General features: G+C 40.3%; 1 protein-coding gene and 1 long non-coding RNA gene across 23 annotated transcripts in view, besides 2 other annotated features; one reads left to right on the top strand and one right to left on the bottom strand.

Annotated features, from left to right (window-relative positions):
- The window catches only part of TENM3 (teneurin transmembrane protein 3), a 1,355,412-nt gene that overhangs the window by 756,610 nt on the left and 577,220 nt on the right, over positions 1–21,582 (top strand). The gene's annotated exons all lie outside the window — the stretch shown is intronic.
- Positions 264–12,426, bottom strand: LOC105377572 (uncharacterized). 2 transcript variants are annotated; one of them, XR_007058401.1, is made up of 6 exons: positions 12,338–12,426; positions 12,168–12,243; positions 8,390–8,487; positions 7,607–7,658; positions 2,948–3,075; positions 1,742–1,820 (listed from the first exon to the last, which is right to left on the bottom strand). It is a non-coding gene; the product is annotated as an uncharacterized LOC105377572 (long non-coding RNA). The 2 variants fall into 2 exon arrangements; XR_007058400.1 differs by having other exon boundaries at positions 264–8,487.
- Positions 3,220–3,419: a silencer, noted in NCBI's record as "fragment chr4:183128595-183128794 (GRCh37/hg19 assembly coordinates)". NCBI's record gives its function as "represses an EF-1alpha promoter that drives an FKBP-Casp9 reporter gene in an ReSE screen in phorbol 12-myristate 13-acetate-treated (for megakaryocytic differentiation) K562 erythroleukemia cells {active_cell/tissue: K562(+PMA)}" and the evidence as "EXISTENCE:reporter gene assay evidence [ECO:0000049][PMID:32094911]".
- Positions 4,494–4,995: an enhancer, noted in NCBI's record as "H3K4me1 hESC enhancer chr4:183129869-183130370 (GRCh37/hg19 assembly coordinates)". NCBI's record gives its function as "activates a minimal SCP1, AML or CMV promoter by ChIP-STARR-seq in naive H9 embryonic stem cells {active_cell/tissue: H9 hESC(naive)}" and the evidence as "EXISTENCE:reporter gene assay evidence [ECO:0000049][PMID:30033119]".

The raw sequence follows: 21,582 nt of genomic DNA on the forward strand, positions 1-21,582 counted from the left end.
CTGATACAGATTTCAAATGGTGGTGTTGCTTATAATGCTGACTGAAGCGGTGTTATCTTTAGGCTCATGTAAGAGTTGAAATGTTTTTGGAATGTGTAATACCTTTATTTTAAGAGTGTGTGGTACAACCAGTTGAAAACCTGTGAAAACGTTTACTCCAAACTAATTCATAATAGGTTGTTTTTTTGGTGGGGAGAGGGGAAGAGTGAATAATTCAAAATGAGTTTATTTTGAAAATACCCTTGCAATAAATACGTGATCACTTTTGAGCTTCTTTGCAGAATTTTATTAGACACTGTATACACCCCTGCGTCTTCCAGACACTATTTTTCAACTCAGGTTGTCTCAGTCGTTGCCTCCCACTGTCTGTTCTGCTCAGTGCCTCAACGTAGTCAGCACATCGTGGTCTTTTCATTCACACATTTCCTTTCCTGACCATTATTTATCTAAGGGACACCTTGTATGGCTCTTGCAGATTCCTGATAGCCTTTTCCTGTGATGCTTGTACAGAATTCAAGCATTAAATTCATTTTCATGAAAAACAATGAAATGCAAATTTAAAAAAACCCAAAAGAAACAAATCTCTGTGTTCAATGAAGATTACAGCTTTACTCTTTCTATATACAAATGTATATGTTTGCCTATAGAGATTGCATTTGGAGATTTCTCTAAAAAGTAACTTCACATAAGATATTCATGACAACTGAGTCTGCATTGTTCTCCATTTCCCAGCAAGCTTTGTGACTTTTCGGTTGCAGCAGCTGTGGATCAGCTGACACATGGTCCCAGAAGATTTGCAGTCTTCTTTATGCTCATTAGCTTTTCTGAATTTAAAATAACCCCATCTTACAGTAAAATACGGTTTGAGAATAACTCTCTAATACTCACTGGATAATTTAATTCCTCCTTCGGCATCTGACTTTGAAAGCCCACATTGACCGTGGCTTAAAACAAAACAAATGGAAACTCTTCCACCCCGTGTCTATCACACCCTTTTCCAATCCATATAAATTTCACAACTGCTGCTTTGTGACTATTGCTCTCCTAACTAAAATAGTTGACGTAAGCTAAATGCTTCTTTACATTTAATTATTAAATAATAGAATCTGCGAACCTCAGCTATTTGCATGACCACTTCTAGAAACCTGGGTCTTTGCTTGACTTAGAGCTTCTCTCTGTCTTCAGGCCCACCTCTCCCATGTGCCTCTGACACGCCCCTCTCCCAGCACACTGGCCTCAGGGCCTTGGAGCCTGGCTCTTGATTCACCACTAACGTATTTCCTCAGGGCCCCCCAGGTGCAGTGGAGCGTTGCTATGACTGATTTACACCCAGCCTTTCTCCTCATGGGTGCTCCCCTGGGCCCCCCCAAATCACCGCGCCACATCTGGCGACCTAACTCATTGTCAAGCTTCACTTTCGCTCATTGTGCCCTTGGCACATCGTTTTCCAGTAGACAACTCCATGAACAGTTTTATTTATTTGCGTATTTATCTATTTGCAAATTATTCTTCTCACATTTGACTGCTATCTTCCCCTTGTGGAAATTTTTATCTTGGAAGTTTGGGGAGCATCAGTGGAGTACATGTGGATGCTCCCAACTCACATCTGATGAGGAAGCTGCCTTCGTACACGCAGGCAAAGTGCATTCGACAGAATATGAAAAAATTAAGCCAGCGGACAATTAATATAGTGAGAAGTGCTTTACATCCGGAACATGGACTGCCTCTCACCAAGCATTGGGTACTTCATTCTTCTCTGAAGCTGGCCAAAAGACGTGAAAGCAACTCACTAATTTACACGATCCACCGAAAGAAGAAATCTGTAAAATTAAAAAAAAAAAAGAAAGAAATCAGCTAAACTAACAGATATAATAGGATGATTGCTTGAGTTGTTCACATTTAAAATGTCTGTGTAAGTGTTAAAAATGTTGCCTCGGAAAACAGAATAGAATTTCCCTGTGACCTGAAGTGATGGGATAATTACCTCCCTCCTCAGAGCAGGTTTCCTGGCTCCTCATGCCCAGGCTATTGAGGACCAGCCCTGCTCTATTGTCAGATTTGTTTTCCTGTTTTGGGGATGATTGCTTTCCCCACAGAGCCTCAGGATTGCTCCAGCTCTTAAAATGGTAAGTGCCATTGCCACCTGGATTCCCTCTCACTTAGAAGCATCTCAAGGAGTCTGTTATGGGCCAGGGGGCTGCTGATGGATTCACGAGAATGTCTCCCTCTCTGAGCCTTGGATTCCTGACACTGGAGAGGGATTCCTTGATGAATGCCTTCGCCCTACCCGCTTACCTAACCCCTATGATTTGTTGAGAATCTGCTAGCTTTCTTTATGGAGATGTCAATTCCTCATGCGTGTCATAGACATGGAGTCATTCATTCAATAAATATTTACTGAGAACCTTTCGTGTTTTGTGCTTGCTTCATGTCAGTTACTTGTGCTAAAAAATAAGGTGGTTTCTATTCTTTTCTTCCTCCCCTGGAAGTCATTCCAGAGTTTTTGTCCCTTCCCAATAACTCAATTTCAGATTATTTGCTCAAGGAGTAAAAAATTAGCAGAAGTTACTGAGTATTCATCTGGGGGACTTCATTCTAGCCAGAGAATTTGGCATATCAGCCTAAATTCTCTAGACTTCAAAATTCCCGTTCTTTCTTTCTCTCTCTTTTTAATTTGTAAAATTCCTATCTACTATTATTATCTCTAAGTCCCTGCATGTTTGCTAATGTCACGCACTCAACATAAGCATGAGATGCTCGGAAATTTGTTTGCTAAATCATCTGGCAAATGGTCTTGTTGATGTCTGCTGAGCTGCTCAGAGCCTACAGTTGTTAAGTACTTATTACAGGAACCCAGCAGGGCAAATTAAGAAAGCTACATGTATGCTTGTTATTTTAGGACTATTATGCTATGCTTCTGAGGGGGCTGCATATTGGACTTTCTGACCTGAAAGGACTTGCTGTTCTTTAGTCAGAGGTTGCTGCGTGGAATCTGAATCTTTGACCCGGCAACAATAAAAGTGATTATCTTCAAGGGGGAGAATGTCCTCTAGTTGCTTTTCATAGTTCAGCCTGCTGGAAAATGTAAAACACTTATTTAGGCAGCTCTAGGTTCACTTGGTATGTCATATTTTATAACTAAGCTGGGAGCTTTTTCTACTTACACATTAAGTTATTTACTTCATTTTTAAATGTAAGTGCTTTATCTAAACAGGACTCCAAAGCTTAAGCTCTTAGCACAGGGTGAGCATGCTTCCCAGCCCATGCAAAAAGATATGTGGCGGGGCAGAGCTGTTATTAAAATTATAGCTGATGCTCCCCCTGCTTTTTTGGGGAGTGCATATTACAAATTGAAGCTGCCAGCTAAGTAACTTACACATCACTTAGGGTGGATTTTAAAATAACTATACAGCTCCTTTAGTCTTTCTAAGAACTACTTATAAAGCAAATTTTGGGTGTCTGAAAATTTCTTAATATGTAAAAGCTTGGGAAAAATATGATCAAAAGTATTTTAAGTGCATTAACTTTAGAACTCCTAAAAATGCCGATTTTCTGGAAAACAGGAATTTATTATTGTCATCACTTTAGACTTTCATCTTTTGTAATGTATTGTGTTCTACCAAAGCTCTGCCTTTGGTACCTTCTTTTGGCATCACAGCTGTGCTTAAAATACCTTTCCAGCAGTTTAAGTTATCTCAAATGGTCATCTGGTTAAAAATGCTGCTGCTGCTGTTGCTGTAATTTACAAGAGAATGTCCTTGAAGTCGTGTGTTTCCTCAGAAGTTTTGTCAGTTTCATAAGCCTTAAAAATGTAAGTGTTGCAAAAGAGAGTTGGCCTTTCCCTTTCTGTTGTAGATATTTTTTAATAATGCAAGCTGCTTAAGCACAGAGTTAATGTCCAACATGCCTTTTTCTAGCAGGAGACTTTGTACTTTATAAATGCTTTATGATGTTAAGTATTTGTGAGAAGTAAAAGAACTTGACTTTTCAAAATAATAAAAAGCACTGGGTAATCACCCCATTAAGAAGTCAGATGCCAGATCTGAATGTACCTTAACACGTCAGTTTCTATGAATATGCTCATGATTCACTTTCTGGGAATCTGCCTGTGTTTCTCTCATCTCAAGAGCAACAATTACTTCTCATGAAGACTCTAGGGCAGGAGTCAGCAAACAATTTCCGTAAAGGGACAGATAGTATTTTAGGCTTTGCAGGCCAGGAGTACAAATTAAGAATAGTGTGAAAGTATTCCACACATTTCCACACATTTTACTGACAAAATTTTAATATAGTAGTAATGAAAGGGTATACTTTTTAAATGTAATACAGGTCTACTAATGAGAAGAATGGATTGTTGTGGGGGAGAGTTGACATTTTGCCTAATTAGAGTTCAAAGGTAGCATTTCTTATCAAAAACCATTCTGAGCTCAAGGGCCATATAAAAGTAGGCAGCAGGCTGGATTTGGCCCACAGGACCATAGTATGTCCTAGAAGGGGGCTTTGCTCAAAGTGTGTTCTTGGGAGCAGCTGATTTCATGTCACTGCGGTGGCCTCTTAGACCTGCAGAGCCCAGACTCCACCAGAGGTTCTCAGGCTCATCTGATCAAACCTGTGCTTGCCTCTGTTGCAACGTTGGTTTAGTGGTCAAAGTATATTTCCTATCTTTTGGAAATCCAGCTGTCACTTTCCATGACGTCCTTCAATTCAGCCTTCACATTCACATGGGCTCAGCTGTCCCTCTTTTTTTTTGTTTTTTTTTTTTTGAGATGGAGTTTCGCCCTTGTCGCCCAGGCTGGAGTGCGGTGGCACAGTCTCAGCTCACTGCAACCTCCGCCTCTGCGTTCAAGCCATTCTCCTGCCTCAGCCTCCCAGGTAGCTGGGATTACAGGTGCGCGGCACCATGCCCGGCCAATTTTTGTATTTTTAGTAGCAACGGGGTTTCACCACGTTGGTCAGGCTGGTCTCGAACTCCTGACCTCAAGTGATCTACCCTCCTTGGCCTCCCAAAGTGCTGGGATTACAGGCGTGAGCCACCGCATCCAGCCCAGCTGTCCCTCTTTAAAAAAAAAAAAAAAATCGTTGTTTTGACACTGCCATGCTCTACCTCCCATCCCATCCCCCACACTCAAGGCAGGTGCTTCCCAGGCACCTTGTGTGCGTGTGGCCCCACTGTGCATGCTCATGCAGTAGAGCTCCCGTCCCCACCACTAGATCAAAGCTACACTCAAAGGCTGCCAAGACTCCTGCTGGCAGACCCAGTCTTTGCTGTCCTAAACCTCTGCTTGTCCTTTGACACTGCTAGGAGCCCCCTTCGCACCAGAATAGCTCCTCTTTGCCGATATATCTTAAGGTCTTAAGGTATAGCCGAGTAAAGTTCTTGAAGAAACATTACCTGGTGGCCTGGGAGAATTCTTCAGGCACAGTTAGTAATTGTGTAAATGCGTCTGTTACCATTTGATGGGGGTATTAACTGGGCTTGGGAGTACAGTAGCTGAATAGGACCTTGCCTGGGGTAGGAGTCTGGGGCTTTGAGAGGTAGATGGAATCTGAAGGTGCACGAACATAGCAGCCCGTGGGGGTACTGATGGGTATTCAATTCTCAAGAGAATGAGATCCAAGACTGGCTCTCTCTCTCAGTTGATGAGACCTAGGTGAGTGAAGTCATCTGCAGGGGGAGGTGGGGTAGAATTAACTCATTCATGTCTCAGTCCACTCCTCTACACCCAGGCTGTGTCATAGAGTGTGAGGTGTCTCCGCAGCTGTGGTCCCCACAGCATCCACAACCTCCAGCCCTCCCCAGCCTCCCTGTGCCGCATCCTCCGCCATGAATCCTGTTTCATCTAGGTTTCTCTTTCCCTCTCCCTCCTGCCAAATGATGAGTGCTGGCAACACTACATGCCACACCCTGCTTTTCTCTCTAGATCCCCTGCTCTCACACCCTCGGGCGGATGGACGGTCACACCGACACCATCAGCTCTGACCTCTCCCCTTCAGAGAGGTCTCCTTTACACTGGTCTCACATGCTACAGATTTCACTTCACTTGGATTGCAAGCATTTTCCTTGAATTCAGCACCTCAACATTGAAAACCAAAGTTTGTTCAAAATAGGCTTCTTTTCCCCCCAACCCATTTTACTCAGTGGCCTTCCTGTTACTCTCTCCTCTCAAAGCCTGGAAGCCTTTACTTATTATGCTTCTCTCACTTTCTGTCCAGTATCTCAGTCCTTCAAATATTTTGTTTGATTATTTTAATCAAATTATTTTTATTATTTTGTATTTATTATATTTTGTATTATTATAATCATGTCTCTTGGGGTTCATCTGATTTCTAAGACGTCAGGAATTTGGGCCTGATTTTTTAGAACTGTCTCGCTGCCTCCATTTTCCCCCTCTCTAGTTTTTTTTTTTTTTTTTGTATCATTGTCATATTAATCTTCTCAAAACTCCATGTTCATCAAGCTGCAGCACCTACTGAGGCTTCCGATGCCCTGACTGGCAGTAGGGCCTAAATCACTTCTTTTCTGCTGATCTCCAAACTGCACTCTATTTTGCCAAGCAGGTCTTCCCCACTCTTCCTGCTCCCAACTCCGCACCTAAGCCCCAGGCTCTTCTCTCAGTCTAGGTACCCTCTCTCCGTAGACCGGTGTGTATCACAGAAGATGACCCTACAAGGAAGGTCACTTGTTTAGCTCTGCATGACCATAGGAGCACCATCACCTGCTGTGTGTCCTTCCAGCCCCTTCCTATAGGTGGTCTTCCCTCCTAAGGGAGTGATGTGTGGACTGGACAAACCGAGGCCAACAGGGGCCCTACCCTTGTCGCTGTCCCTCATCATCTCTCCTGAATTTTAAGCCCGTCCCCAGAGGAGATGTCACCAAAACGGGGGACAAGGCACAGCAGCATTACTCCCCTTAAGGTTAGCTTCTCTCCCTGGAAAGAGGAAAGAACCAGGATTGTTTTTAAGAGTAAAGGTAGTATTCATAAAGCTCATTCAACCCACGAGAGACGTGGCTCTTTCTTGTTCACGAGAAGGATAAATGCATTACACGCATTGTTTTTTATACTTTTGTCTTTTCTTTTTCTAGTAGAAATCAAAGATGGTGTTTTTTGGGGAACACTAATAAATTAGATTCAGATGAGTTTCTATGATTAATTATGCCATAATTCAATATTAACCACTATAGTATGTCTTCTATTTATGCGGTGGCTCGCTTTTCTATTTGAAAATTGCTTAATTATGTACAGAAATGTGTCTAAAACATAGGCTATAGTCTGAGACTGAATTTGAAAAGAAATTTGATGTGTATGTGAAAATACACTCCCAATGTTAACCACGTAAGACTTCGTAGGCTGTTCAGAAATCAAATCTATCACCACCTATAAAAAATCATTATCAATTCAGCTTATTTTTCAAAAGCGCTGGAATCCTTACATCAAGAAAGCAGACTAAAACTGATCGTTATGCTGAAAACATGGAACTTTATCATGATGAGGCAGAAGCAATATATACTATGGAACTGCTTTCTGATTTACCAAATATTTATTTTATATTAAATACATTTGATTGTTTTTGTCTTTAATTATTTGAAAATTGATCTTTTACTTACCGTGTGACTTTGTACAGATTCCTTAATCCTTGCAGGGCCTCAATTTATTCTTCTGTAAATAGGAGGTAGAACACTTAACCGAAAGGTTTTTCACTAGGAATAGTGAGTTTTTACATGGAAAGTACGTAGCCCAGAGCCTGGCACGTGTGACATACAGCAAATGGTAGCTCTACTCTAATATATATATCTATTAAACCAAGTAAAATGTACAATTAGCAAAAGCCTATCCATATTTTTTAACTAGTCTGAATACATGGAATTTTAAAAAAATTCTCGCCATGGTTTATGAAGAGAAGAGTAAATGCATAGGGATTCCATTATCTCTTTCCTATAATTTATAAAAGGTCTGTACATTTTTCAAGTGAAACCAAGACTGATACTGAGCTGTGCCCGGCTCCCTGGGAGCTTGCTGTGATGTGCTCCTTTGCAGTTAAAGTCCAGCCTTGACCGCCACATGGCTCCCACGCTGTTTCCAGAGATAGAAATCAGATACCCATAGCATCAGGCAGAGAGTGGAACAAACAACTTGAAGGAGAGTGCCGCAGCTGCAAATATTGCACCAACAGGCAAGAACGCGCCTGGAGTCTCTGCAGGCGCCCGTTGGCCACCTCTGCTGAAGTCTCTCTTGTACTCAGGGCTCTGACTAATAATAAAAGGTCAGTGATTGGAGGCTGTCTTTATCTCAGCTACTTAAAAAAAAAAAAATTTATGTCAAGTGAGCACTTTACATGTTGTTCACCCACTTAGCCAGTGCTTCCTTTGAAGCTGAAATAGATTGCTTACATAAAATGCTCAGAGCTGCCTCCACAAAGTCTTCTCATGCTGCTTGCCTCCCTTAAAGCTGCGGCTTCCTAATCCTTTGATCCCGATACCGCTGAACTCTTTGAGAGTGAAACAGAAAGGACAGAGTTGAGATTTTAGTGTGACAAGTGGAAGAAAATCAATTTTGACTTCCCAAAGATAGAACGAGTGGTGCAAAAGATCACTGGTCCCAAATGGATGTTCTCTGTCATTGTCTTGGGTGACTAAAAATGCCCAAGAGGTACAACGCAAGGCAGACAATAGGAGGCAATTTCTTTTTTCTTTACTCAGAAAATAAACTAAGTCTGATGTTGGGACCACATTATGAACATCTATGCCCTGACCATTCCACCGTCCCTTGTATTTTTGCTTGATGTTCCAGATTTTAAGCACTCTAGCATTCCACTGGAGGATTTACACATTGATTAGCAGTTAAAAGCATTTGTCTGTAAGTTTAGTTGGATGACTGTTTCTTACTTCAGGAAAACCAGATCTTCCCAGTAACTGGCAGTCCTATTATAAGTGGATATTCTGTTAAGCTTCTAAAGAACTTCTTGTAACTTATCAAGTAATGAATAAGGCAGAATGCATTTAGTCTTGTAGTTGCACCATATTTCAAATATCATGTAACCTATGAGTCAGTTCAAATGTTATATGTAAGTGAAAAAACAGGGGATAAAAAGCAACATTGAAAAGAAATTATGTGAATTACCATGCCACCCACTAATACGTTGCATAGTGATTTAGCCATCCTTTTTCATAATTACACTGTTCAAGATTTGGTTACAAGTATTTTTAGCCTCAGAATAAAACCATCATACCCCAAAAGGTGTAAAGAAATTAAGATAGCCTTTCCATAATTCATAACAAATGTGGTTGTTTCAAATGTGCTTAATTATTATCTCGATTCAATTCAATGCAATGGTGATTCATTGCCTTTTGAGAGCTGCTTGTGAATGTCTCATTAGGAAGAGCTACTAAATGATACAGTACGATCCATATGAAGACATATTTAATGTCATCTCAGTCATGGAAACACTGCTTCTTAGCTCTATTTGCATGCCAGAAATTCTGAGCGACAAACAAACCCCACTACGATAATAGAATTTAAAAATTAGCCTATATATTTTCGCTATTGTCTAGAGATAAGAGATGCAGCTTTTATTTATTTTTCATGTTTTTATTTTTTTGAGACAGAGTCTCCCTCTGTCGCCCAGGCTGGAGTGCAGTGGCGCGATCTCGGCTCACTGCAAGCTCTGCCTCCTGGGTTCACGCCATTCTCCTGCCTCAGCCTCCCGAGTAGCTGGGACTACAGGCGCCCGCCACCACGCCTGGCTAATTTTTTTGTGTTTTAGTAGAGACGGGGTTTCACTTGTGTTAGCCAGGATGGTCTCGATCTCTTGACCTTGTGATCCCCCCGCTGCGGCCTCCCCAAGTGCTGGGATTACAGGTGTGAACCACCGCGCCTAGCCAGAAATGCAGCTTTTCTTAAATGAGAGAAAGAAGTATGTGCAGTTTAGGTAAGTAGGGTTTAAATCTACATGAAAATTTGGATGTATCAAGGAAGCATAATACATCACTTGTTAGAAAAAGCATCATCCTAGTTTTCACTACCCCTTATGTTTCTTAAATATGTAGCTTACCTTGTGATCTTCAAGAAAGCGAAATAAATTTAACTGTAACATAACTGACTGATTTTGTTGGACCTGACTTCTGATCTATAGTTCAGTGATATCCTTGGAAATCTTGAAAAGTTGAATGGACATCAGAGCTTAAGACATAAAGACTTATTATTTTCCATTCTTGATCAGAAATATTTACTACTATGTTTGTGGATTTTCATAATTAATCTTTACCTTTAGGAGCTTACATTCTATTTATTGTATTTATTTATTTATTTATTTATTTATTTATTTTTAGGGACGGGGGTCTTGCTGTGTTGCCCAGACTGGTCTTCACCTCCTGGGCTCAAGTGATCCTCCTCCCTCAGCCTCCCCAAGTGCTGGGATTATAGATGTGAGCCCCTGCACCAGACAATTATATTTATTTTTAAAAACGCCCCTCATGAAGTCTGGGTAATTCTCTCCAGATTTCTCCTTATCAACAAATTTATAAGAGTTAGGAAAAAAATGATGTAAATAAAGCACTTAAATTGCGACAGTGGTTCTATTCTTAACATCATAATGCTTATGACTAAGGAGCATTCTTTTTTTTATAAATTAAATGTATTCTGTAGTGTTAGAGTAGATGAGGGTCAGAGACATTATCAGTATGTAAGAATGCATTGTGGATTTTCCTAATTTATCACCTACAGTAATTTTCTATTCTAACACCCTTTAACAAAATCGTGGCACACAAATGAAATTCCAGTTAGAGATAAGAAAGGTGTCTGCAAGACCCTAGTCATTTCTCGTGATTACAGGCGTGAAACTCAACAGTAAAAGAACACATCAGAAACTTTTGAAGAAATGGTTCTGAGCTAGAGTGCAAATGAAGTGCTGAGAAGCCAGCACTGTCACTGGGGCAGCAGGGTTGTAAATGGTATTTTCAAGAGCTTTAATAGTGGGCAAGGACAAGCAGTTAGTCTGGTTGACTCCTTAGAACAAATGTCATTAAAGGAAAAGTGTTGTGCAAGTGACTGATTCAATCTTTATTAATGAAAAAAAGAAAAGATGACGCCTCCAGAATGAGGCAGTTAGAGCTGAATTGTGGCGAGCTCTATCTTCACTGACTAAATTACCACTTCACTCGATGAGTTTTTTAAAAAACATGCAGTAGAGGTCAGATGGAGGTGTTTTGTTGAGCTCATCATGTGGTGGTGTTTTGCTTTAAAAAGGGTACTGTTTTCAACTACATAATTAAAAAAACAAATCTGCCCAGCTTCCCACAGCCAATCAAAATGTACTGAAAAAATCCTCTTACGTTCATTTCATTACGGAAACAGTTATGGAGTGGCAAATTGGAATCAATTATCTGTAGACGGTGGGATAGCAGTTGGGGTCACAGAAATCTATGGATTCTATAAGGCCTAAGGTACAAATGTGGCAACAGGCTTTTCCTTAAATTCCTGGGGATATTGTTGTTCACACACGGGTCTTTTTACTCACACCTGGCACATGTCAACAGAATAACCTTTGACTGCACAGGACATTATTTCATTTCTTTTCTCTTCTAACTTGCAATCAGGTTTCAAGTTCCACTGATGTCTCGATACCTTTCTAGGGTTAGGGCTGAACTGTTTTCAGGACTCCCCTATGAAAACTCGCCTTTGGAAGTGATAAAACATTACAACATGAAAACCTAATTTTGAATGAAGGGAGAAGAGCCAGAGCTGGAGAAAACGACACTACCCCCTCTCCCAGCAAGTGGTCTCAAAGTTTATGGAGAATTTCTTATTCTCTGCTGAAAATCCTGTCTTTAAAATATTTGTTTCGTGGTTGATTTCTCCAAAGGCCAGTGAATAATCCACACGTAATCATTAGACACCAGTGGCACTCCAACTGTCTGTCTTTGTATTTACCAGCCAGAAATGATTGCCAGCACACAGGCCTCAGAATGTGTGGTTTCCAGCTAGGTCAAACTATATCCACAAAAGAGATGGAAATATTCCTGACGTCACATCTCCTGGTGGTTTTCTTATGGATTCAAATTACTGCACATGTGTGAAAGATACCTAGGTGTGACCAGATGAATGCACAGTTGGCTTCAAGGTAATGTAGCCTAATTTCGGCTCGTTCAGTTTCCACATGGTCTTGCCTACCTGCCTTGCAGTTCCACTGCACTAGATCAACAAATTCCTGGTATGATGTGCCATCCTTTGGTACCTGTGGCCACTCCTGAAAAGCAGAAATCATCCTGATATCAGTTATAATCTGGTGCAATATCATTTACCTGTCAGTTTCGTTACTCCATCTTCATCACCAAGCCTACCTGAATAGGAAAAATAAAGGTGATGTACGTGTGAGGATACAGGCGTCATAGTCTTTGGAAGCAAGCAATATACATCAATAGGAATGTTGTTGTATTTTAGACATTATTTATGAGAAGTTTACAGAGAGTACACCATAACTTCCTTATTCACAGTTGAATTCCTAGATTCTAGCATTGTGGTGTTCAATAAATGTTGAACTGAGTGATGATTTCTCATTCACTTGATAGCATTTGACCACTGTGTTCAGACAATGCTGACATACTTCAAATCCTGAAAACGATTCAGGTGTTTTCTAAACAATGGCAGACTTGCATTCTATTAAAGAACTCCATTGATCATTTTTGTAACCAAGGTGTTTACAGAATGCAACTGGCTATGATTCACACCACTTCTGGTGTAAATATCATAATGTATAAGTATTTTTCTAAATTTCACCATCATTTTCTTTCTTTTTTTTTTTTTTTTTTTTTTTTTTTTTTTGAGACAGAGTCTCACTCTGTCCCAGGCTAGAGTGCAGTGGTGTGATCTCGGCTCACTGCAACCTCTGCCTCCCAGGTTGAAGCCATTCTCCTGCCTCAGCCTCCCGAGCAGCTGGGATTACAGGTGCCCACCACCATGTCCAGCTAATTTTTGTATTTTTAGTAGAGACAGGGTTTCGTCCTGTTGGCCAGGCTGGTCTCAAAATCCTGAACTCAGGTGATCCACCCACCTCGGCTTCCCAAAGTACTGGGATTACAGACGTGAGCCACCGCACCTGGCCTAAATTTCACCATCGTTTCTATTCATAACTTACCTGCAAAGTGATTATCTGACTAGTACTACTGCAACAAAGATAATAAAGTGCCTGATGTTTATATCAAATAGGATATGGCATGTTTCTGAGTGTTTCTAAAGAAAAATACTGAATGAACCCCTCGCCTAACCTAGTGCCTGTGGTAACAATAACTGACATGCATTGAGCGCTTACTGTGTGCCAGGTGCTTGTTCGAGGTACTTTACCGGTATTAACTCTTTAATTCGCATAACCCTTCTGTGAGATGGGTAACATTATACCCATTTTACAGATGAGGAATCTGAGGCCTGGAGATATCAAATCATGTGCCCAAGGCCACAAAGCCAACATGTGGTAGAACTGAGACTCGAATCTAGGCAGTTTGTTCCAATTTTTGTGCTTTGAACCTGTGCACAATATGACTATTGCTATTTTGTGATATTATTTGAGATTTCTCTTTTAATTATTCTTGATATCTTTGGGGCAGAAAAACAATGAATAATAATGTTATGAATATTAAAGCCCCATAAAAAGAAAGGTATTCTGCCTAACAGAAGGAAAGATTTCAATTAAATGTGGAAAGCCTATCAATGGTGATAAATAGTTTCCTTGGACTGCAGCCACAATTAAAGGACTTGGGTGAGACAGTCATCGGAGTAACAGTAATGAAAAACCGAGTAACAGTTAACATTTAACACTTTCTATATGTTAGGCAACGTTCTAAGGACCTTAATTACATTTTCTTATGTTTAATAGGTCCTCTTTTATGGATGACCAAGTTCCTTGCCCAAAATCACATAGGTTATGGGCAGCAGAGTTGAGTCCTCAGTCAAAATATACCTGACCCCGGAGTCCATGTTTTGAATCACTAGTCTGTCCTGCCTCCATGCAGCAGTGTAGAAAGACCATCTTGAGAGCCTCACATCATGGTGGCCTTAATCTGGGGCATGTGGAAGAAAGGATGTCCTTGGTCTCTGGTGAATCCCGTAATCTTCTAGAGATATTTTAACAGGAATTATAATTGAATATATTATATAGGCCTCTGTTACTCTTCCAGTTTTTACGATAATTTCATGATAACTTCCTGGGTGTTAGTAATTGTGCAAATTCATATATTATTGCATTTAAGCTGCCTGATGACCCTGGTGAGTAGGGTCATCTTAGCCCCATTTTATAAATGAGAAAATTGAAACCAGAGAGGATAAATCATGTGCTTAAAATTATGCAGTAAGTGACTTCAAATCTTGTGATCTTTACTGTTCTATAAATAACATCCTACCAAATTAGGTTAAACTGTATGGGATTGCAATTTTGGTGGGTCAAAATGATCCATTATTGGCAATTTCATATTATACAACCTCATTGATGAATGAAAGTGAATTTAATCATTTCTTATTTTCAATTTTCAAATATATTGAAAGTGCACACCTAATATATTCGCAAACATAATGTATAAGAAGAAAAAGAATCATGAAAATTTGATAGACCCAGTGCATTGATTTGTGTGACAGTATACTGATATTAGTAAGAAAGTGGCCACAAATTATGTTGTAATTCTTTATGTCCATACATATTAAATCCCTGGAGTTTCTTTTTTAAAAACCATAATAGGCCGGGTGCAGAGGTTCACGCCTGTAATCCCAGCACTGGGAGGCCGAGGCAGGCGGATCACCTGAGGTCAGGAGCTGGAGACCAGCCTGGCCAACTGGCGAAACCCTGTCTCTACTAAAAATACAAAAATTAACTGGGCGTGGTGGCGGGCACCTGTAGTCTCAGCTACTCGGGAGGCTGAGGCAGGTGAATCGCTTGAACCTGGGAGGCGGAGCTTGCAGTGAGTCGAAATCACGCCACTGCCCTCCAGCCTGGGTGACAGAGCAAGACTCTGTCTCCAAAAACAAAAACAAGAACAAAAACAATAAAAACCATAATATATTTTGAAGAGAGCGAAGTAATTGAAGATGAAGAAAAAAATTCATTTCTCCTAGTTTGAAGGTTGTCATCAAATACATTTGCTCAAAACCACGTAAGAATTAAAACATGAAAGCTTCCATTCTAATGATGGCAGTTAAAATCCAACCCATCACCGTAAGAGGCTGAAGCAGAGAGGATTGCCTGAGCCCAAGAGTTCCAGACCAGCCTGGGCAATATAGTGAGACCCCTACCTGTAGAAAAAATTTAAAAAATTAGCCAGGCGTAGTGTTGCATGCCTTTAATCCCAGCTACTCAGGAAGCTGAGGCCGGAGGATTGCTTGAGCTCAGGAGGCTGAGGCTGCAGTGAGTCATCATCGCGCCACTGCACTCCAGCCTGGGCTACAGTGAGACCCAATCTCCAAAAACAAAAAAAAGAAAAGAAAGGAAAAGAAAACACATACCATCAGGCTTCTTTAAAATCCAATTTTAAAATATCCAACTGATGGTTTAAAATAATTGTTTCAGTTTACATTGCAAACTCATGCAAATGGACACTTATCAAGTTTGACTGTCATACAGTCAAATGATGAAGTCTGCTTACTCTCCTAAGGGGAAGGCAAATCACCTCTGTTTTGGGAAATTCTTTTGCATATTGTTTGGCAAGATTGTACTTAAAGCTGAATATTTAATATGCCTCTGTATGTATTTGGTTTTTCAGTTTCCTGGAAAACATTTTACACAGGTCAACCGTAAGTCTGGCCATATTAAATGAAAAGAAGAACTCAAAATGCATGTGGTTTGGCCCTGAGGAGCATCTTCTGATCTGGTGGCTTGTGAAAAGTCAGCTTTATGGCCAGGCACGTTGGCTGATGCCCGAAATCCCAGCACTTTGGGAGGCCAAGGTGGGCGGATCACCTGAGGTCAGGAGTTCAAGACTAGCCTGGCCAACATGGTGAAACTCTGTCTCTACTAAAAATACAAAAATTAGTCGGGCATGGTGGCGGGAGCCTGTAATCCCAGCTCCTCAGGAGGCTGAGGCAGGAGAATCGCTTGAACCCGGGAGGCGGAGGTTGCAGTGAGCAGAGATCACACCACTGCACTCCAGCCTGGGCGACAGAGTGAGACTCTGTCTCACAAAAAAAAAAAAAAAAAAAAAAAAGTCGGCTTGATAAAGAAGAGCAGGGCCTCATCTCAGCTCTCCTGCCTTACACTGTTCAGGGCTCTGACGGCCGATCTCTTCCTCACCCTTCACTTCGTCCTACAGTCTCTTCTGGCATCACGCAGCATGCTGCGATTCCAGGTCCAAATGTGGGGGGCACTGCTGTGAGTCCGTGGCCCTGTAGATTGATAGGAAACTGCGCAGAGAAGGTTCATGCTTCTTGCTAGCCACAAAGCAATGAACAGGTAGTAGTATTTTCTTATGGATGGAAAGTTTAGGTAAAAATTGTAGTCTTATGATTACATTACATGGTATTGTATAATTACCTAAGAACTAGCCCATGTACAGTGTACATTTATGTGTTTACTAAGACCATAGTTTTTCCCTTTTTTAGTTCCCCTTTAATAACTGGTAATTAATCCTGTGTAATATTAAATAATAATCAACAGCTCTGTGAAGGCCATCATAGAAAGAATATTTTTCTTCTGGAGAGATTATTGTAAGTGTTATTTAGAAGAAGTCTTAAGCCCCAGCATACGAAACTAAGATATCTACATATCTTTTAGCAGAGTTTTGTTTTACCCCTTCGCTTAATCAGAAATAATGAAGATTTATGTATGTCAAGTTATTTAAAATTCTCGATGAAAAGCATGGTTGTTCTGTGTGTGTGCTTAAGTACCTTAGCTCAAATGCAGTTACACTGCTGCAGAAAAATGTTAACATTTTGAAACAGTTCTTGATTTCACTTGTGCTGATTTTATCAAAATAAGGAGGAAAAAGACACCGTGCCTTTGTTACATGTGATAAACAAGCGATTTGCTCTTTAGAGGCCCCCTGCTATAAAAGTTAGCCGTTTTTAAGCCTAGAGAATCAGGTGAGTAATATTAGAATATTTGATCTTTTTAAGGATTTGCCTTGACATTTATTTTGTAAAGACCAGAAACTTTATTGAAACTGAGCCTTAGAAGAGTGGCTTTAGCACTGTGTTGCTGTCCCAAAATGAAGAGATAATCTAGGAATTGGTATAAAGTGGCCACTACCCAAAATCTCGTGGTGGGCCACATGGGAGAACATTCTAGAATAAAAATACCAGAGCTGAAATCATGATGATGCTGGCAGCCTAACACTTGAAACTATATTAGTTTCCATCCTTTAAATGTAGTCTTGTATAATTAACTAATACATGTTCAGCTGCCTTTCAATATATATACCATCCATTTTCAGAAATCACGATCCTTTATGTAAGTTCTAAATTCAGACATTTGCTAATATTCAGATGTTTAAATTAATCAGAGGAAGACATCAATAAATATTTTTCAATCTGAAATTTTAAATCCTTTTAAAAAATCCTGGCATTTGATGTCATATAGACCCAATCTACAAATAAGACATTTTCAGCGTATCATCAGTCTTCGGCACATATTGTATGCAAATGTCATCCTCTCTTTGAAAATACCTTTTGCATTTTAAGCAAGATCCTATTTTGACAGTTCTTTATGCTTTTTGGGGAGAGTTCTTGTGGAGAGTTTAAAAAAAAGCATCTTGAGTTTTTGCCTTGACATATTCATCTTAATTTGATCATTTCTCTTCTGTCACAGTTAACCCCTCAATCAAAACACCTGGAAGTCCTTGTTAAAGTTCAAGGCTTCCATCAACCTCCATCAGCGATTCCAGGCAGGAGGTTTACACATGTTAAACCACTAGAATGTAAGTTGTTCTTCAGGATTGCCCCGGGGAGTTTTCTACTGCATTTTTGCCAATTGAATTATGATGTGAGATGGTATGAATATTGATCAAATTTCTAAACTGAATTTCCCAATTTTTAGACTGTGGTGTAAACCAACCCGCAGGTTGTCATAACCAATTCAGTATGTTTTTAACAATAGTCAGTGAAGCGTGGAGGTCTTCAAAACTCATTGAAATGTAGAAAATTATCTGCACATATGCTATCAACAAATCTCGCTTAACTCCTTCCTGCTCACATTCCAAACCAACAGCAAAATTCAGATCCAAGCAAACTGGTCAGTGATTCTGTGTGTGCTTGCATGTGGCCATGTGCCTTTAGCTTCTTGGTTTGTTCTTCCTTTTTCCAGGCTTATCTGTTTGAAAATATAGGAGGAAATGTGTTAATACACATCGTGAACACAGAGTACAGGAGATGGGATTGTACCTTGGTTAGTAGTTTATCGTTGCAAAGTGGTTTTCTTTCCTCTGAAGAGAAAACAAGAAATCGTGCATCATCATAAGCTGGCTTTCCATTTCAGGGCCATATTTTACATTTATTCAGAACCTCTCTTCTTTCTGCTTTTTCCATTTTTCTGTCTAACTTTTAGTGATTTATTCTTTTTTATTAGTACATTTTAATTTACAGTGGGATGGGAGGAGGGCCTTCTGCAGTTCTTTGTCTGCTCTGGAGAAAGTTCCTGAAATGAAACATGAATTTGAGTTTGCTGCCAGTCACAGTTAAGGGGCCTTCTCTTGTCCTATCCCGTTGTAAGACAAGCTCGTCCCTAAGAGAGCCTCTGAATCCAGCCATCCTTTGGAGAGAGTCAAGCATGGTTTATCTTCTGGACCTCACCTGACTGGTTTTACAAGAACAGTTTGGTCTTGGTCTGCACAAATAGGAAGCAGGTTTTGACATTCTGAGCACTCTCTCCATGCATTCAGCAGCTTGTCAATAAGAATGAGAGAAAGAGAAGAAAGAAAAAGAGAGAAGAAACTATGGTAGGGGAAAATGAGGTGGAAAGAATATAATACCTTCCTTACTTTCCTTGTTTTGGTAAAAACAAGTTAATCATCATTCATATCCCTTCTCTTGCATAAATATGTATCTGTCTACTCCTACCTCATCTGCTGCAGTGAATCACATATTTTCTCCTCAGAATTGATTTGGGCAAGAAAGACAATGTATACATAAAATCAGTACTGGATTTCATATACAACAAAAATGTTAGAGATTTCAAAATTATATACCACTTTTAATAACATTTTTTTTTTATGAGGGGGTTTCTACCATTTGCTAAAAGTGACAAGAACCATTCGGCCTATGCTGGCATAGAAAGCAGCAGGGAAATCAGTTGATAATAATATGAATAAATGTATTTGGTTGATTACATGCTTACACCTTACAGTTTATAACATGTTTTAACACACCTAATGTGACCTCATTTGCTCCTAAAAATGAAAAGCCCTTTGAAGAAAACAGTGTTATCTCCTTTATATAAATGAGAAAACTGAGGCTCAGAGACATTAAGTGCCATGATTAAATCTTCATAGTTGATCTTTGCACTAGATGTTTCTGTAATATTGAGTGTGTGTGTTTGGGCATTTGCGTGTATGAATATAATCATAGAACACTGCTGCAAATGGAGATAGATTGGCAAAAAAAAAAAAAAAAAAGGAATGGAATTGACTGGTAAATTATTAGTACTTCTATCTACCACTTGGCAGCTAAAGGATTGCCCTCCGTGTGTGACTAAAAGCAGTGGCCTGTCCAGCAGATAGTTTCAGTCCAATTAAAGTGATCTGTTGTGACTGTATTTGACCAGAGGCAATGGAAGAAAGATGGTGAAAACGTCCTTCCAAGATTATCCTCTTTCAGAATCCAAAACTTGAATTTCTGAAAAATGATTATGGTGTGGCTTATTTTATGTACCCCACAATATATATTATCGAATCATAAATCAAACTGCTTTCTAAAAGATTTTAAGTATCTTCGGATAAATTTCCTTAATATTTTAATTGAAAAATGAGGCAATCATTTCTCAAGATTTTTATTTCTGATGGGCACATGAGGTCCTTTAATTAGTGTATCCGTTCTTATTCTTGCTGAACAGTCTCCTGAATAAGAATAAAAGTGACAAAATTAGACAACGTATGGAAAAGGAAATCCTGGCTTTGCTAATTTTACCAGGGAGAGTAGCTAGGCCCTATATTTCTGGCTGGAATTCTCAAATGGGAGAAAATTCTTTTCCTGGCATGTATTGGGTAACAGTTGTTTGTGTACCTTGTAGCCTAGCCGACTCTGTCAAAGGTAATCCTCCCAGTGCAATAATCCTCTGCTTTCAAAGGCGAAAACTGTGTAAATTGAATTTTACAGAAATCTTTCTTAAATTTCAAAATTATTGTTATTTAAAACGTATATTTAACTTATTTTTGCATTGCAAAATTGGACATAAAAACAAACCACAGTCTGGCCCCAGGTGAGGTAGGGAGAGGATTGTTAGGGGAAGTGTGCACAGCCCATAATAGGCCCTGTCATGCCAAGCTTAGTTATTTCTGCAGTAAGGCAATGGAGTATGCAGGTTGAAAACATGAACTTTTCAGTCAGATATCTTTTTTTTTTTTTTTTTGAAGTGGAGTCTCGCTCTATCACCCTGGCTGGAGTGCAGTGGCACGATTTCGGCTCACTGTAAACTCCGCCTCCCAGGTTCAAGCAATTCTCCTGCCTCAGCCTCCTGAGTGGCTGGGATTACAGTCACGCGCCGCCACACCTGGCTAATTTTTGTATTTTTAGTGACGGGGTTTCACCATGTTGGTCAGGCTGGTCTCGAACTCCTGATCTCGTGATCTGCCCACCTTGGCCTCCCAAAGTGCTGGGACTACAGGCAGGAGCCACCGCTCCCTGGCTCAGTCAGACATCTTTACCAGTTTTGAGACCATGGCAAGTTATTTCACCCCCTATCCTGGCTTTTTTTCATCAGAAGGTGGTGTTGAAAATACTCGTCTGATAGGTTTCTTTTGTGGATTAAATGAAACAAACTCTGAAAAGCCTGTAGCCCAATGCCTGTTGTAACATGTTTGAGTACTCAATATACGGCAGCAATTATTGTTGTTTTGGGTCTCAGGATATATCTAGCAGTTAAGTTTCACAGTCATCCCTGAGAAGAGATCTTATCAGGATTCATCTAAACATGGAAAATATCAGTGACCTAGAGAGATGAGTTGGAGCCTGGTCTCTGGATGCTGGGATGTTAGCTGGAGGCCTGGGGCCCTTGGGGATTTTGCTTTCAAACTGAAGTGGCCCCGATGTTTGCACAGTCCGATGGGCAAAACAGAGCCTATTACCTGGCACCTGATCTTTTCAGTGGTGAATTCTGTGGTACATAGGAAACTGGGGTTGTGGCATGTGGAATGGTTAGGACCTCTCAGAGCTGGAACCATGGGGAAGTGACTGACGACAGCGGGAGATGAACACAAAATGATCTGAGGCCCACGGGAGGAGCCTTGAGGTTCGTTGAGGGAAAGAGGAACTGCAGATAATGGTGAGATTTCAAAGGGCCAACCAGGGACACGGGAGATGTCTCCAAAATCAAGGAAGAGTTGCTTGGAGCCCAAAGGAAAAAGCTTCAAGAGTCAGGGAAGAAAGTGGCTTTCTTATCTAAGATAGCCTGGAGTCTGAC

The sequence above is a fragment of the Homo sapiens genome, chromosome 4 (assembly GCF_000001405.40).
Source record: "Homo sapiens chromosome 4, GRCh38.p14 Primary Assembly".
Classification (NCBI taxonomy): domain Eukaryota; kingdom Metazoa; phylum Chordata; class Mammalia; order Primates; family Hominidae; genus Homo; species Homo sapiens.